We start from the raw sequence: 18,872 nt of genomic DNA on the forward strand, positions 1-18,872 counted from the left end.
GAGCCTCTGGGAGTTTAGAGTGTCTCATTAGAAGAGCCACACTGAGAGAAGTCCTAATAAATAATTAGAAGTACATCTGCTAACTCTGTGGAACTTCGGCCCAGGCCCCGCACCAGGCCAGTGTGAAAGGGAGGTTAATCAGCCGGCACCCCGGCGGGGTTTCCCTTTGTCCATCACACCTCGGGACAGGGGGAGGGGAGGGAGGAAGGAGGTGCCTCAGGTCCTGGTGCCCCCGAGGCCTGGTGAGGCCACTCGCTCTGCCCTGTAACTTCAATGAAGGGCACAGCTGGGAAGAGGATGACCAAATGGAAGACACTGTCTTTCCTGGCAGACCATCCGTCTCTGTTTATTGTCCTGTGTTTTCTGATGGGGCCACACTGGGGTTTGGCCAGCAGTGGCAGGCCCCCTGTGTGTCTGTAATAAGACAAGCAGTGGAGTCTGTCGGTCAACAAATATTTATTGACCTCCTGAGGTCACAGAGCCCGGGGCCTGACTCTGAGGAGACACTCTGGCTACAGCCATTGTTCACCAGGCAAACACCCAGGCAGCGGAAGGCCCAGATGTCCTCCTCAGCCTCGAGCAAGGGCTGCAGGCCAACACCACGTCAGATGGCAGCTCCTTTCATGGGCTTTCCTAGGGCTCTGGAGATGGTCCAACCAGAAACCATTACTAAGGGGTTACTTTACCGAGTATCTTGGTGTCTGGCTCAGGGTTGGGCTCACAGAGCTAATGCAGAAATGAACCCACCTTCGTTGGCCAATAACAGATGCTCTTCCCGCCTCTAACAAAGCCCTCACAGCCTTCATGCCTGCAGATTTTTCACAAGCTGTACCCTTTCTCAGGGGCATTTTGCTTTCTAACAGCATCAAAACACCACACTGAAGGGACTAGACCAGAGCTGTGAGTGGACTCCCGGGCATGAGCACAAGGAATATTTTTTCTAGTCAGGGTTTTACAGGCCCCAAAACAATATTATGTAAGCATGCATAGCTGGCTCTTGTTCTGTTACACTCACTTATGTATTTTCTTCTGCTGAAAGTGTGGACTTATGTGTGTGGCATTAAGGAAAGAGAGAGCATCAGTCACCCTGAGATAATCATGCGTCCTTGGGGGCTTCCAGTATGGCTGAGAGAGATAAGGAAGGCTGGGGTAAAACAGCGCTTCTCTGCTTTTTACCTCTGCTTCTCCATGAGATAGAGGGTAATGGCGTTTTGTTCCTTCCACAAGTGACGCACTTTCAAGATGGAAGAAGATACACTGTGAATAGACATCGGGACACCCTTGGCTGTTCTGTGCTTCCCCGGCCCACCTGGGGAAGCCAGAGGTCTCTGTCCCTTGGCTGCTCATGTAAAGAGGTCCCTTGGCCTGGCTTGGGGCAGAGATTCTCTGCAGAAGTGGGCAGAACACAGACGTGAGGGGTACGCGTAGGAGGATTCGTTCACACACCTGTTACTGCTCGATTCAGCTGCTTTTGTCCATCGCATCAAGACCCTGTAGGAGCAAGTTCTAAAGACTTGAAAGCTAACACCAGTGTCTTTTCTTTCTTTCTTTCTTTTTTGAGACAAGGTCTCACTCTGTTGCTCAGGCTGGAGTGCAGTGGTGTGATCACGGCTCACTGTAGCCTCAACTTCCTGGGCTCAAACAATCCTCCCGCCTCAGCCTCCCAAGTAGCTGAGTGAAAACACACCACCAACCCTGGCTGATTTTTTATGCTTTTCTAGAGACGGGGTTTTGCCATGTTGCCCAGGCTGGCCTCCCATAGTGCTGGGATTGCAGGTGTGAGCCACCACGCCCTTCTTGCCAGTGTTTTCTCAAATTCCTTACATCTGTTTTGGCTTCAGAGTCCCTTCAGACCTTCTGCCAGGGAGTGTAAAGTGCCCCCTAACCCTCCTTTGCACTGGCCATGGGTCCTGCTGTACTTTCAGAATGCTGCCCAAGCATAGTGCCTGCGCCTCAGGGACCTGCAGGATGTGCATGTGTGAGTGTGTACGGCCTGTGTGCCAGTGTGTTTGGTGTGTGTGTGTGATGTGTGAGAGGATGTGTGGTGTGAAGGGTGTGATGGTGTGAGTGTGAGAGTGTGTGTGAGTGTGTACATGAGGCTAACAATGACTGCACACTTCCTCTGTATCTGACACATCCCTAGGGTTTTCGCACACATGACTTCATTTTGTCCTTACACAAGCCTGTCAAGCATGCATTATTCTCATGTCATAGAGAAGGAAACCGAGAATTACAGGGACTTCTAACTTACCCAAGATCACACAGCTGTTAAATAGGCAATAGTACCTGGCTTTGTCTGTCCAATTCCTAAGCCAAGATTCTTTCCCCAGTGTGTGTCCTCCTACCAGCGAACTCAGCTAACAATGTGTGGAAATGTGTGTCCCATTTCAATCAACAACTACAGCTGCCTCCGATGTGGGACACACACCACCACAGCCAAGAGTGGAGCGGGGAGTGGGACGTCCTTGGTCCCGGGTCCCGCCATTGGGAGGCAGAAGCTGGAGGAAGAGCAAAGGGTGCCCCCCTCACCCCCAACCCTCCTGCCTTGATGCCCTAGGGCAGGGTTGTCTGCAATATGTTTTTCCCACAGGCCTTAGTTCTGTAAGATGAAGAAGTTTTCAGTGAGAAAAAAGAAACCCTCGATCCAATAAAAAAAAACTTGAGGAAAATGCTAATTTAGACAAACAGGATTTTGTGTCCGAGTGTGTTTTATTTTGTTTTGATTTTATCGCAGGGCTCTTCAAGTCTTTGTTACACTGGCATGCACTGTGATTTTCAGAGGAGCTTATAGAACGCAGTGCTTCCCAAACACAACAAATATCACAGGCAAGACTCTCAGATCAGGCGTTGGAAAACTCACCCTACACTGCTTCTGTCTTAAATCCCCTTTGCTGACTGTATTGCTTCATGTCAGCAATCCACATGGGTGGCCAGGTGGCTCTGAGAGAGCTCAGTGCCTTCTAGGGTCAAAGAGCTCATCTAGGCAGAAGGAAGTGGATGATGCTCACAGGCCCCTCTGGCAGGTTTTGGCCCTATGGCTGGCGAGCAGTGGAGGCATCGGCCAGGTAAGCGAGTTCTCCTCCTGGTCTCCACCTCCCCTCCTGTGTGGGCATGAGTTAGAACTAGTCTGTGCTGGAGAGGGTGGAATAGGAGGCTGGCTCTGGGTCACAAGAAAAGGATGACATTCCTTCACAATCCACATGAGATCCTTCCAGGGGAGGAGGACCAGAAAAACATTCTTATCATTATGATCAAGGTGACCCTATGTTTAGCCTCCTTGTGGTGTGGCTCGAGGAAACACAGATGATGAAAACGCGTTCTGCTCTGTGCGACACAATGGAGCTGATGCCTCCGTTGGCAACCTGCTGGAGCCATGACTCACGCAGAGGCATTTTGTAATTTGTCTTTGTATCCACAAAGCCTGTTATAGGCCTTGGTATATAGGTGGTGCATAATGAATATTTGGTGAGCAAAGGGAGCCAGGCAGTGTGTACTGGCTGGCATGCAAGGTGCTGTGGTCAGTCCCATCGAGCAATCCCCTGAGTGGAGAGGGCTGTCCGTCTCACATAGATCCACCCAGCTCTCCCAGGGAACCACTCACTCTGCCTTTAGCCAAAGGGAAGGGTCCATGGGGTTGGATATGTGTGATCCAGCATATTTCTTCAAAACTTACCCACTTCCATTGAAGCAGAAAAGTGTTCTCTCTTGTTTTAGAATGAGCAGAGGAAAAGTTAGGATGAGCTTGGAAAGAAAGAGGAGCAGCAGTTGCCTACCAAGAGTTTGCAACCAGGAATGGGAAAATCATGGCAGGCTATTTATTCATTTGTTTGTTTATTTTCTTAGAGATGGGGTCTCACTATGTTGCCCAGGCTGGACTCGAACTCCCGGTCTCAAGCGATCCTCCAGCTTCAGCCTTCCAAGTAAATATGGCAGGTTTTGAACCATCTTCCACAGTCCCTGAGCAGAAGACAGTGGCACTGAGCATCCCCAAAGCAGGAGACAAGCAGCCCCATGTGGACATAGCTCCTTGGGTTTCCTAGGGTCTCCTCGGCACTGGGGCCCAGAGGGCACAGCCCCTGTCCCCGCCTCATGTTGCTGTCTTGACTGGAAGCTGCCCCATCTCTTCTTTACCTGCCTGGACTTCCTTGTCCTGGGGAATGTCACCCATGTCAGATCCTCTGGGAGGGCACTGGCTCTTTGCTTGGTTTCAGATAAGCGGCCGTTGGCCCTGTGTATAAGAGGCACATGTGGCAGGATGAGAGGGAGACTGGTGGGAGGCAGCTGGAGGGACACAGACCCCGCAAACAGACAATAGGCTCAAATCGGGACTCCATAGCGCCCCGGTGGTGTCACCTTGGGTAGATTACTGAACTCACAAACTTCTGTTTCCACATCTGTGAGATGGGGATTTAGAACCTATTTCATGGAGTTGTCTCAGGAATGAATGAGAACATGCATGAGAAGCACTCAGTCAAGGCTCGGTCCCTTTAATACCTGGACGCTTTCACAGCCGCCCAGCCTGTGTGTCTCCGCAGACCACAGGCATGCGTCAGTCAGGTTGGGACATCTCTCATGGCCCATTTTCCTACCCTCAGCCCCAGTGGTCTTATCTTGCCTGAGGCGTCAATGCTGGAGCTGAAAGGCCAGTGGTGAACACTAAACCCGGAGCCGCACATTCAGGCCCTGACTGCAGTGAGCATTCACCAGGTACCCGAGTCTTGGCCAAGCCACTGACCTCACTTACAGAATTATGACCTGCTCTTCCAAAATCAGCTGAGATCATACATGCAAAGGTGCTTCTTAACTGTAAATTTCTAGTCATTTGTAATATCCTAAGACTGACATTTGCTTAGGGTCTCTCCCTGGCTTAACCCGTAAGTTGGGGAAGATATAAACATAAAAATCAATTGTAGATCTCTTAAAGGGCATAGCTCAGTTAAGAAATAAGAGCTTAGTAGGCTGGACGTGGTGGCTCATGCCTGTAATACCAGCACTTTGGGAGGCCAAGGCGGGTGGATCACGAGGTCACAAGCTCGAGACCAGCCTGGCCAACATGGTGAAACCCCATCTCTACTAAAAATACAAAAAATTAGCCAGGTGTTGTGGTGCACACCTGTAGTCCCAGCTACTCAGGAGGCTAAGGCAGAAGAATGGCTTGAATTTGGGAAGTGGAGCTTGCAGTGAGCCGAGATTACGCCACTGCACTCCAGCTTGGGCGACAGAGCGAGATTTTGTCTCAAAAAAAAAAAAAAGAGAGAAATAAGAGCTTAGCATTGGGAGTAGACATTTCAGCTGTCCTCAGGAACTGAAAACCTCAACAGAGAGATAAGACTCGAACAGAGAAACAGGTTTTTAAGAAGTGCCTAGGACAGAATAGCAAGACCAGCACACCCAGAGAAGAGAACATGTAGAACTGACATGGTCAGTGCCCACCTGAAAAAAAAGGTGGCATTTGAAATGGACCTTGAAGAATAGACTTCAGTCTGGGCTCAGTGGCTCACACCTTTAATCCCAGCAATTTGGGAGGCCAAGGGGGGAAGATGGCTTGAGCACAGTAGTTTGAGACCAGCCTGGGCAACACAGCCAGATTCCATCTCTATTAAAAAAACAAACAAACAAGCAAACAAAACAAAAACAAAAACAAAAAAAAACAGATAAATTAGCAGGGCATAGTGGCATGCACCTGTGGTCCCAGCTACTCAGGAGGCTGAGGTGGGAGGATTGCTTGAGCCTGGGAGACTGAGGCTGCAGTGAGCTGTTATCGCACTACAACACTCCAGCCTGAGTGACAGAGAATGACTCAAAAAAAAAAAAATAGGACTTAAGTGCCCAGGGACCCTACTTTCTTTAACATTTACTTCGTATGTTCTGATGAATTTCACATTTTTACAGGAGTGGGCTCCAATTTTTAATGAAATCTTGAGCCAAAGCCCCTAATATAAAACCACATGTTGACATTTCATTGGCACAAATTTATGCTACTTCAAATCTACAACAGTAGTTAAAAATTCAATTAAGAAATAAGACTGGGCCAGGTGTGGTGGCTCACACCTGTAATCCCAGCACTTTGGGAGGCCGAGGTGGGTGGATCACAAGGTCAGGAGTTCAAGACCATCCTGGCTAATAGGGTGAAACCCCATCTCTACTAAAAATACAAAAAATTAGCCAGGCGTGGTGGCAGGTGCCTGTAGTCCCAGCTACTCGGGAGGCTGAGGCAGGAGAATGGCGTGAACCTGGGAGGTGGAGCTTGCAGTGAACCAAGATCGTGCCACTGCACTCCAGCCTGGGTGACACAGCAAGACTCTGTCTCAAAAAAAAAAAAAAAAGAAAAAGAAAAAGAAAAAAGAAGAAATGAGGCTGGGAGCAGAGCGGTGGCTTATGTTTGTAATCCCAGCACTTTGGAAGGCCGAGGTGGGTGGATCACCTGAGGTCAGGGGTTCAAGACCAGCCTGGGCAATACGAAACCCTGTCTCTACTAAAAATACGAAAATTAGCTGGGCATGATGGCGCGTGCCTGTAATCCCAGATACTCAGGAGGCTGAGGCAGGAGAATTGCTTGAACCTAGGAGGCGGAGGTTGCAGTGAGCTGAGATCGTGCCATTGCACTCCAGCCTGGGTGACAGAGCAAGACTCCAGCTCAAAAAAAAAAAAAAAGAAAAAATATCGCGACTTTTTAAATCAAAATTTTATTTAGCAAATTAAGAAGTGTTATTTATTTAGTAAGAATTTGAAATACTAATAACAGCCCTACCAACCAGTTTATTTCTATGGATTGTTTCAGTTGCAGCACTGTGAGAAAGGTTTGGGGCACTCAGATAAGCAACTGTGCATACTAATGTTTTTTAAATAATTCATTTTGCAACCTCGAGATGCTTTTTCAGCAAATTGATCTAGGTTAAGCATTGGCAAAATTTTCTGTAAAGGATCAAGTACTATATATTTTAGGTTTTGTGGGTCTTATGGTCTCTGTTACAACTACTTAACTCTGCCTTTCTATCTCAAAAGCAGCCACAGACCACATGTAAACAAATAAGCGGTGCCATGTTCCAATAAAACTTTATTTACAGACACAGAAATTTTAATTTCATATAAATTTCACATTTCACAAAATATTGTTTGTCTTTTTATCACTTTTCAGCCATTTAAAAATGTAAATACTACTCATAGCTGATGGACCATACAGAAACACGCAGTGAGTTTGGTTTTGGCCTAATCCCCTATGGAAACGCTCAAGAGAGTAATAGAATATTTTTGTTCCAACATTAAATCACGAATCAAAAAAAGCTCTAAGTGAATGTTTCAAATCATTAATTAGTAAGTATTAAATCTGGAAGAAATCAAAGAATCTTTCTCCATTTCTGGCAAAAATATTCTTTTAATATATCTTTTGAAACATTTTGAATATTAAATAATGTCATTAAAATAAAAAATCTTAGATACCGTAATGCTCATCTTTGCAGCATATTTAAACACAGTTTTAAAAGTCAAATTTGTTTTATCTTTCAGGTTGAGTTTAAGTTTTTCTGTTTTTTAATTGCCAACAATTTTTCTGCAGTTGTAATCACCATAATGTTGCAACCTTCACAGCCTGAATTGAATTTGTTCCGTTCATTAAAAATATCAGCAAAACACACAAATTGGAGCAAGCATGTTATATCTGGCGGTATTTAGCTGGGTAGAGTTCCTACATTTGCAAAAGGAAAAAATATATATATAGGTATGTACAGTCATGTGCCACATAACAATGGTTTGGTCAATGATAAAGTGTGATGAGACAGTTGTCCTGTAAGATTATAATATCTATTGTCCTGTAAGATGAAAAAAGCCCATTGCCTAATATTGTAGCTGTCGTAAAGTTGTAGAGCAATCACACTTCAGAGTAATTTTAGTGTGGTCTAAGTGTAGTGTTTATAACGTCAGCAGTGGTATCATGTTCTAGGCCCTCACATTTACTCACCACTCACTGACACCCAGAGCTGCTTCCAGTCCTGCAAGCTCCATTCATGGTAAGTGCCCTCTACAAGTGTACCACTTTTTATCTTTCATGCAATGTTTTTACTGTCCTTTTTCTATGTTTAGATACACAAATACTTACCATTGTGTTACAATTCAGTACAGTAAGATTCAGTACAGTAACATGCCATACAGGTTTGTAGCTTGACAGCAATAGTCTGTACCATATAGCCTAGGTGTGTACTAGGCTATTGTAACTGCACGCTGTGATGTTCACACAACGATGAAATCACCTAACAATACATTTCTCAGAACATACACCAGTTGTTAAGCAATGCATGACTGTATATACGTGTGTGTATGTAGGTATGTATATAGTGATTTTGTCTCACTATATATACATAGTGTCATTTAAATATTCCTACCAGTATCACATCTTCTCTAGAGATAGACATCAAACTTTACTATGAAAAGGCAAATTTTTACATACCTTTACAAATCATTGTTAATAAAATTGACAATTTCCATAGCAATATCCAATGCCAAGTTGAAAGATCCTAGCACAGTGCTTATCTGTGCAACTTACCATTGTAGGATAGCACCATTATCCTAAGCACCACTAAGACCAGACCAGTTTCTTACATCTTAGAATGTTAATTTTATAATTGTTGGAAGTACTCTTTAAAGTTTTTAAAAACAATGTTAAATCACAGAGCGCTGTTTCATAAAGTGAGGAATATATGGAGAATAAAATTGGTTAAGATGTTCGTGACACGTCTTCACAAAGTCCCAGTCTTCTGAACCACTTGGCAATTGAGAACCATCATTGTGTTTCCCACAGAGCCGCTGCCCATAAGGAAGAAGCAGCTGCTAGAATGGGCTTTTCTTGTTCTCAGGACTCTGCCCCCTGCCTTGGACACCCAGATTCAGTGTGTGAGGGCAGGCAGTGACAACTGTCACCTTTCCACAGCCTGGCCATCCTCAGGTGGAAGCCCACTCAGAGACTGACCACGTGGAAACCCACGCAACCTGGGGCCGATCAAGTGTGAGAAACCCATGTGGTTCCTCCTCCTGGGGCTGCTGACTGGGGCTACAGACGCTGGGCATTTTTGCCAATTTACTTGATGGTGTGTTTAAAAACTAGCTGAATGGAGTGTTTGCTTTTTGGCCCTCGTGAATGTGTCAGGTTTTACATCCAACAAATCTTGCTCATCTTGGTGAACATATTTTGTGAAAATCATTACAATGAAGAAACCCAGCACATGGGCACTCTTACCGAGATGAACTGTAGAATGTCCCAATCTCAGCTTTTGGTCTCAGCCATCAAGCCACGGCCAAGCTTCTCAGATCCTTCTCTGGGCTCTGTTATCAGATGGTGGCATATTTTGCTGCTCATTTTATCCACTTCATGGCAAGTTTACCTAATAAGTTATGTTTTTTCTCATTGTATAACTTCAGTTGATATGTGTAATAGAGGTAACTTCTGTTGCACAGACCCATGCATGTATTTTATGTTCTGGTGTAATTTGTTTTTATATATTTTTCAGTAACATTCCATTTGCACTGAAATAAGATGAAAGCCCTATTTTTATGTTTTGTTTTATCTTCAAAAGATATCTTAGTTTGGCAGGAACAGCATAAGCATACTAAGGGAATGAGAAGATGTTTGTCATGATAAGTGATGAACCCAGAGAGGCAAGTATGACATCACTCTCTGGACTTCAAGGGGCCATTTTCACTCCTTTGCTTTTCTGTCTTACAGTTTGTCATTGTGGGTGGCGACTGAGTGAGAATTGATTGGAATATTGGTATGATGTCATTTACAGTACACATGACTGGAAGATAAGGGAAGATGAAGTCGCTATCTTGAACATATCTACTCCTTAGTTCCTGCTGGCATTCACCCTTGCAAACTCCCAGCTTTCAGGCTGCTCTTTGTTAGAAAATGATTTGGGGCAGCTTTTCATTAAAAAGACCCATCACAAGTTAGGAAGACTGAGGAGTGGAGGCTCATAAATGCCAGAGCATCACAGATCTCTAATCCTATGTGAGTATCCAGGATTAATTAAACACACTGGAAGTTCCTTCTCAACAACTATGCCATTTCTTTTTCTTTCTTTCTTTCTTTTTTTTTTTTTTTTTTTTTTTGAGGCAGAGTCTTGCTCTGTCACCCAGGCTGGAGTGCAGTGGTGCGATCTCGGCTCACTGCAACCTCCGCCTCCTGGGTTCAAGTGATTCTCCTGCCTCAGTCTCCCGAGTAGCTGGGACTACAGGTGTGTGCCACTAGACCCAGCTAATTTTTTGTATTTTTACAAGATGAGATTTCACCGTGTTAGCCAGGGTGGTCTCGATCTCCTGACCTCGTGATCTGTCCACCTTGGCCTCCCGAAGTGCTGGGATTACAGGTGTGAGCCACCACCGCACCCAGCCGCCATTTCATTAAAGTCCATTTGATATCCCTAATCCTCATTCTTAATACCTATAACCCCCAAAATTTGCCTTCTCAAATTTTAATCTGTAAAAATTGTAAAACTTTAAGCCTTTTAAAATTGTCTTATTTTACACCATCTAATAAGAATAACTTCCAACTTATCCACAAAGGTGCTTCTGGTGGGGTCCAGCTATTAACGCATGTGTATGATTTGCTTGCAAATATTTCCCAAATTCAATTATTAGAAATCTCTGCACTTTTTTTTTTTTTTTTTTTTTTTTTTTTTTTTTTTTTTTTTGGCGTCCTACCTAACCCTCTTTTGTTTTCATACACTGAGTTGAAAATTTCAAGGACTTTTCCACACTAACTCCTAAATCCCATTTCCGTTTTCCTGTTTATCTTAAGTAGGATTTAGATAATGTGTGGCTAAGTAGACACAAATACTACCAGAAAAGAAACGAGGAGGGGAGGAAGAGGGAGGAAGAAGGTAGGGAGTGAATCTGCTGGAGGTGACAGACAGCAAGCAGCATAAGGAAGAAGTATGCTCGCTAGACCAGCAGGCCGTCCTTCTGCTGACGATATGGACTGCAAGTGCCTATGTTTAATTTGACCAAGATGGCCTTTCTTTTCATGGAAAGTCGGGGTTCAGCCCTTGAATTTCATAAGACCTCTCTTTGCAGTGGGTTAGATGCTCTTTTATCTTTTTATAGTCTGTCAGGAAAACATATTTTTTTCCATATAAAAATCAGTCTTTTAAAGTGATGGTGAGTCAGTTACTGGGATTTCAGGACCTAACTTCTTCTCCTTACAAGCAGTGAATAAAACCAAGAGAAACAAGCCTTTCCTCTGCAGAAGCTGCCCCACTTTGTCCTGGCTGTTCCCCTTTCTGTTCTGGGCATTTCTGGCAGGGTCTCCAGGAGGTAACAGAGCAAGAAGGGTCCGATTTCAAACAGAGGTCATTAGAGAGCTGGTCATAATACAAGGTGTTGGAATTAGCACATCAATCGTAAGAAGATAGAATGCTTATAGAGTTTTAAAATATGATCTTAACATTTTATTTCTCCCAATCTTGTTTGTACTTTTCATGCACGCTGTTGATAAACAATGACCATTTCTATTTGCATAGCTTTGCAGTTTACAAAGGTTGTTTACTTCTGTTATTTTGGTGAATCCTTACAACTTGGCATAGGGTGTATTTCTACTATTATCCTCACTTTATAGAGTATAAACTAAGGTTAAGAGATGAGTGGCCTCCCTGGGAAAACTTGGTATAGCTAGGGGTTGAACTCACATATTCCAAACATGGGATTGGAATTCCAAATTTGGGACCCTTTGTTGAGCCACAGGTATTTCCCAATGTATGGTTTGACAAGGACCAGTAACTTCAATCCAGGCCGTATGTGAATGTGATGGTTAATACTGAGTGTCAATTTGATTGGATTGAAGGATACAAAGTATTGATCCTGGGTGCGTCTGTGGGGGTGTTGCCAAAGGAGGGTAACATTTCAGTCAGTGGGCTGGGAAAGGCAGACCCACCCTTAATCTGGGTGAGCACAATCTTATCAGCTGCCAGCATGGCTAGAATACAAGCAGGCAGAAAAACGTGACAAGAGAGACTGGCCTAGCCTCCCAGCCTACATCTTTCTCCTGTACTGGACGCTTCCTGCCTTCGAACATCAGACTCTAAGTTCTTCAGTTTTGGAACTCGGACTGGCTCTTCTTGCTACTCAGCCTGCAGACGACCTATTGTGGGACCTTGTGATCGTGTGAGTTAATACTTAATAAACTCCCATATATATACATATATATATATGTACATATATATGTACATATTCCATTAGTTCTGTCTCTCTAGAGAACTCTAATACAGTGAATTATATAATTTCAAATTATTTGAGTAAAAATTGATAGGATTTGACTATAATTTACCCTTGAGCAAAAGGGCAAACTCACTTAAGAGTAATAAGTAATGGCTTCTATCTAAATCCTCCTGTGGAGAGGGGGGGTGCAGAGAAAAAAGAGTTACTAGAAAATTCTCAGTTGCTCTGAATTACGCGCCTCCTTCAGTAACTTTAGAAAAACTGAAAGAATAAACAAAGCCCTGAAACCAGCTTCAAATGATCTCGGGCTGTTTCACCGACGTGCTGACTGAGTTCATAAGCTAGCGCCTTCTTTACGAGATAACCTGTCCAGTGAATAAAGGAGGGCTTCAGCCAACGCTGGGGAGGAGCAACGGGAAAGGATGGGATGGGTTGTTCCCATCAGCACAGCCTGAACTTTCACACACCCCGCGCGCCCTGCTTTGTGAAAGACTGAAGGGCATTTAGAGACATGGCCCAGTTCTAGCAGCCAGCTCAGGGGGAATGTAAGAGGACACCGTGTCAGGGCCAAAAACCCCATTTCTGCCTGCGTGAAGGAGGTTCCAGCAGCAGCTGCAGATAGCTGGGAGGACTGTGTGGGCCACCTAAGGACACATCAGATCCTGGCAGTGGAAGTGGGGCAGGGTCGGAGGGGAGTCTGGACTGGTCTGGGCAACAGAATGAGACCTACTCTCCTAAAAAAAAAAAAAAAGAAAGAAACAAATAATGTTAACTTTAGAAACATTTTATTTAACCCAATATAGCCAACATATTATCATTTCAACCCATAATCAATATAAAAAGTGTTTTATTTTCAGTATGTATTTAAGGTGTACAACCTGATATTGATATACATATATGTAGTGAAGTGATTACTACAGTCAAGCAAATTAACATGCCCATTATCCATATAGTTAGCTACTCTGTGTGTGTGTGTGTGTGTGTGTGTGTGTGTGTGTGTGGTTAAGTGTATCTAAAATCTACCCTCTTAGCAAATTTCCAGTATACAACACAATACAATATTATTAACTATGGTCCTCATGTTGTACATTAAATCTCTTAGACTTACTCATCTTACATAACTGCAACTCTGTACCCTTTGATGGACAACTTCCCATCCTCCCTGCCCTCTCCACCACTGCCCTCAAAATTGTTAATATGAAGGGCACTGTGGCTCATGCCTGTGGTCTTAGCACTTTGAGAGGCTGAGGTGGGAGGATCACTTGAGCCTAGGAGTTTGAGACCAGCCTGGGTGAACTGGCGAAAACCCTGTCTCTACAAAAAATACAAAAATTAGCCAGGTGTGGTGGCATGTGCCTGTAGTCCCAGCTACTCAGGAGGCTGAGGTGGGAGGATCACCTGAGCCCGGGAAGGTCGAGACTACGGTGAATCGTGATTGCATCACTGCATCCCAGCCTGGGCAAGAGTGAGATCCTGTCTTAAAAAATTAATAAATAAAAAGTGTTAATGTGAAGTTTTATGTTCTTCTTTTTGCCCTATCTTCCTAACTTGACATGGATTTTACCCTTACAGCACGTCTCAGTTTAGACCAGTCCCAGTTTAAGTGCTGGATTGCCACAGGGGTCTTGGGGCTCCACATTGGACTCTGAAGTTGTAAAGTATTCTGTTGCATAAATCCACCAGAATTTGTATCAAGGAAAAAAGATGATAAGCGAAAGTGGAAGAGATTGATTTTTTATGGCAGAACTTCTCAGAGCTCTCAGTAGCATAAAATACGTTGTGAAACTCTAGGATGACAAAGCAGGCACTAGCATTTGTCAAATGAGAAATGATTAAATGAACCTTGCTTATGCAAATGGATGAGAATTGGAAAAACACATGACAAAATAAAAGTTGGACTGAGCGATTCGATTTGAAAAAATTTCAGGTTATGCCACATAGATGTACAGTAAATGAAAACTATTTTTTGGCTGGGCACAGTGGCTCACACCTGTAATCCCAGTGCTTTGGGACGTCAAGGCAGAAGGATCCCTTTAGCCCAGGAGTGTGAGACCAGCCTGCGCAACATAACAGACTTATTTTCTACAAAAAATTTAGCTGAGTGTGGTGGTGCACACCTGTAGTCCTAGCTACTGCAAGGCTGAGGTGGGAGAATCACTTGAGCCCAGGAGTTCAAGGTTTCAGTGATCTATGATCACCCCACAGCATTCCAGCTCCAGCCTGAGTGACAGAGCAAGACCTTGTCTCTATAAGAAGAAGGAGGAGGAGGAGGAGGAGGAGGAGAAGGAGAAGCAGCAGAAGCAGCAGAAAACTCTTTTTTAAACTTGTTTGTCTCTGAGAAGGGAAACAAGCTAAATGCTATTGGTCAGTAATAACTTGGTAGAAATGCCCTCGGCTGGAATTTTCAGTGCCACAGCAAGTGGAGAGCCAGCATGATGGAGACTGGGCTGATGCAGGGGACTAGGGAGAGGCGGGAGCACCCACTGTGCAGGTAGCTGGATGCGACAAGCATGGTCTCACACTCCTCCTGCTTGCTCTGCGAGTGCCACTTGTGCTCGATTGAGCTGCCCTTCCCCAGGTCCCTCCATTTCTAGCTCCCGTTTGCCACTTAGCCACTCCCTGGCATATTTCAGGCCCTGTCTCAGTCTGCCCACAGCCAGGTCCCCACTACTACTTTGTGGGGACACTGCTGTTGCTCCTCCGTGGACAGAAGGCAATTCAGATGCCATCTCTGTGGCAGAGTGAGAGCTGCATGCCTCAGATCCCTGGGGAAGCCTCTCAGTGAGGCTGCAATTCCAGGTCACCATTTAGGGCTCCCATCCACAGCACTAACTGGCCGCCTTCTGAAAGATACTGAGTTTGGTCGTGTTAGAGCAACTTTTTTTTGAGGACCTCAAAGTGGCTTCATATCTCCATCTCCCTGCAGCCGATAACTTTTCTGGTAAGGCTTCAGAGGACAGAGATGGGGGCCCATCACAGAGACAGCCAGGCCTGTGGTGGTCCTGTCCTGGAGAAAAGGGTGCCTTCTGGCTCCCAGCTCTGCCTCCCAGATGGTGGCTGTCCCTTGTCCCAGTGGGCTCTGGCTCCCAAATGCTGAGCTCTGATGCAGCAGATGTGAATAAAGCCACAGACTGAGAGTGAATCTCTAACCGACACCTGTGCATGATCACTAGAAGGAGGCTCAGAGGAGACAGCCTTTCCCAGCAGGCAAAAGGAGACAAAGAGATGACTTTTCCATATGAGAATTATTTTCTGTGATTTAATATGACTCATTTATTGACTGCTTTCAAAACCCTGTGTTGCTGTGGTTGCAAAGGGAGAATGGTCACTGTCTTAGTCCATTCCAGCTGCTATAACAAAATGCCTTGGGCTGGGCATCTTCCAAGACACAGAAACTCCTTCCTCACTGCTGTGGAGGCTGGAACTCCATGAAGAAGGTGCCAAAGATTCCGTGTCTGGTGAGGGCTCATTTTCTGGTCCACAGACGGCACCTTCTTTCTGTGTCCTCACATGGTGGAAGGGATGAGGGAGCTCTCTGGGATCTCTTTTATAAGGCCACTCATCCAACTCATGAGGGCCCCACCCTCATGGGCTAATCACCTCCCAAAGGCCCCAACTCCAAATATCATCACATTGGAGGTTAAAATTTCAAAATATGAATGTTGGGGTGAGGGGGGGACAAACATTCAGACCATAGCAGTCCCCTTAACTTGTTTGTTTCTCTCACTTCCTTTCTTTGAAAGAAAGTTCCAATACACTGAGTGCTTCCCAAGAGCTCTCACACATAATCACACCATGCCTGCCATCCACTCTCTTAAGTACTACTGGTTTTCTTTACAACATTGATGGGGGAGAGAAGCTGGATTATGGAAGAAACTTTTACTTGTTTGTCTAGAAAATGTAAAAGAAGATAACAACAATTTTGAGCAACGGGAAAATGTAAATTTCTAAAAATCTTATCCAAGTGCTGGCAAGAAGAGGAACAGGGATTTATCTCTCCTCTCTGTCTGTCCCTGGAGCCCATGTTTTGTCCCCGCACCTCACCACCTCTTGCTCATTCTCCCTCTCAAACCCCTACCTGGAAACACGTGGCAATAATCTCAATTATGATAGCAGTGCAGAAGGAGGATCCCTATTTTACTGATGAGGTAAATGAATAACCTGTCCAAGGACAGAAACAAATAGGAAGCAGGCTAGGATGCAAACCTGGTCCCTGAGTGCATGACATCAGCCCAGCATGACCAGGGCAGTCCTAAGTCCTTCACCAGCCTGCCTGAATGGACAAATAAGTGTTCCCCTCCCAGCTCCACCACTGGGGACCTGACCCCTTCCCCGTCCTGCCTTCTTGGGATATCTGAGGACCAGAGAGGTAGCTCTCGAGACAAGGGCCGGAGGCAGCAAAAGGAAAGGGCGACATGGCCCGCTCTCACACTATCCACCCAGCACACACTGACTGTCTGAGAGCTGAACCCTCAGACTAAGGCACTCCCCCACTTTCACTTTGACAGGAGTTCTCTGCTCCTGCTGGCTCTTCTAGTTTTCTTGGCATTCTAGTCTTGCCAGGTGGCAGCACTTTGCTGAAACACTTGTGCAATCTCTATTCTTGAGCCGGTTCCGTGAAGAGCTAGCCTTGCCAGGCAGGCTAGCCAGGCGGGAAGGAGGACAGCCCCACCCTGTGCATCCTGAACCCACCAGCCTGGGACCAGGGGTAGTCCAGGCATGCTTGAGGTCATTCCTCAGTTTCCTACCCATCAGCCATGATCTCTCTCTGGCATTTCCACATCATTTGTATCCTTGTGTTTCTGCACCATCCTCTAATTATTTTTTCTAAATTCCTCTGGAAGAGGATTTGTGAACATTGCTATATCCCTAGTTCTAAGAATACATGAATTGTAACTAAAAAGAATTTATTAATTCCCAATTTACAAAGTGCTTTTCATAGATTGCCATTGTGCTGGTAATTCCTTTCCATTACTCTCCTGATTGTCCTCTAAATGTGCTAGCTAGCTCTTTCTCCTTCTGATTGGTCCTCAGTGAGCCATGGTTACATCAGGCCAGGGTTCCATCCAGTGGAGCTCCCAGTTGGGCAGTGGTGGGCACAGCGAGCCCAACTAGTCTGGTTGAATCCAGAGTCGAAGTTCTCCACCCTCCACTTGGGCCACCCACTGGGGACGGAGCATAAAGGGGTATGCCCTTATTTTCTTTTGTTTTTTTTTTTAACTCATTATTATGGAAAATTTCAAATATATATAAAATTACAGACAATATTTAATAATCCAACATATCCATTACCTGGTTTTAATAATTATCAACACATGGCAGACAGTATTTTGTCTATACACCCAGCAATTAACTGCTGCCTACCCTGACTATGGTATAACAAATACTAGTATGAACAAATATCATATCATTGCATATCTAAGTATTTCAATTGATAAGGGCTGTTTTTAAAAATATATGATTATGATAACATCATTCTTACTTTTTAAGAAATTAATGTTAGTCCTTAGTCTCATAATATACCCAGCCAGTGTTTGCATTTTCCCAATTGTCTTGTAATTTGTACTTCATTTGTTTGACTCTGGATTTAATAAGAGATTCATATACTGAGATTGGTTGATTTGTCTCTGAAGTTTCTTTCTATCTACATATTCTATAAATCCTCCTTCTTCTTCTTCTTTCTTCCTCTTCCTCTTCCTCCTCCTCCTCCTCTTCCTCCTCTTCCTCTTCCTCTTCCTCTTCTTCTTCTTCTTCTTGTTCTTGTTCTTCTTCTTCAATACAGTTTCATTCTGTCCCCCAGGCTGGAGTGCAGTGGCACAATCACGGCTCACTGCAGCCTCAACCTCCTGGGCTCAAGCAATCTTCCCACCTCAGGCTCCCAAACAGCCAGGACTACAGGTGGGTGCCACTATGCCCAGTGAATTTTTTTTTAATTTTTAGTAGAGATGAGGTCTCATTATGTGGCCCAGGCTGAACTCCTGAGCTCGAGCGATCCCGCCACCTCAGCTTCCCAAAGTGCTAGGATTACAGGCATGGGCACCTACACTTGGCCTTTTTTTCTTTACAAATTCTTATTGGAGAAGAAACCAGGTCATTTGTCCTGCAGTTTCCCCCAGTCTGGACTTGCTGCTATGTTCTTATGGTGTCATTTAACATGTCCCTCTGACCCTTGGATTTTTTTAAAAAGTGGAAATTAGATCTAAAGGACCTAGATCACATTGAGGGTTGATTTTCTTTTCCTAGGCGTGTGTTTCCATCAGGAATGACCTTGACTCTTAGGACCCTTGAATGGAAGATACTTCAGAGAATATGACTCCATCCAGGGCAAGGGTATTTGGTGGGAATATCAAAGGGAAATTCCCAGTGAGAGAAGAAGGACACTGGGGGTAAGACTGAAAAGTCTAAACTCTGTCTACCTCTGAGGCTGGCCCCTGTGACAACCACAAGTTGACCTGAAGCAGGCTGAAGTAGACTGTGTGATGTATTTTAACTTAAGTAATAGCAATTTTAGGATGTAAAGGCATCTCGTGTTGAGGCAACAGGAGGCCAACTTTATACATATTTGTATCTTGCCACAAACCCAGCATCATGCCAGGTGAGAAGCAAAGAAGATATCCCGATCTGATTTATTAGAGGCCTGTTTCACATCTCAATGTGACGTTTGTGGA

Source organism: Homo sapiens, chromosome 1 (genome assembly GCF_000001405.40).
Source record: "Homo sapiens chromosome 1, GRCh38.p14 Primary Assembly".
NCBI classification, from domain to species: domain Eukaryota; kingdom Metazoa; phylum Chordata; class Mammalia; order Primates; family Hominidae; genus Homo; species Homo sapiens.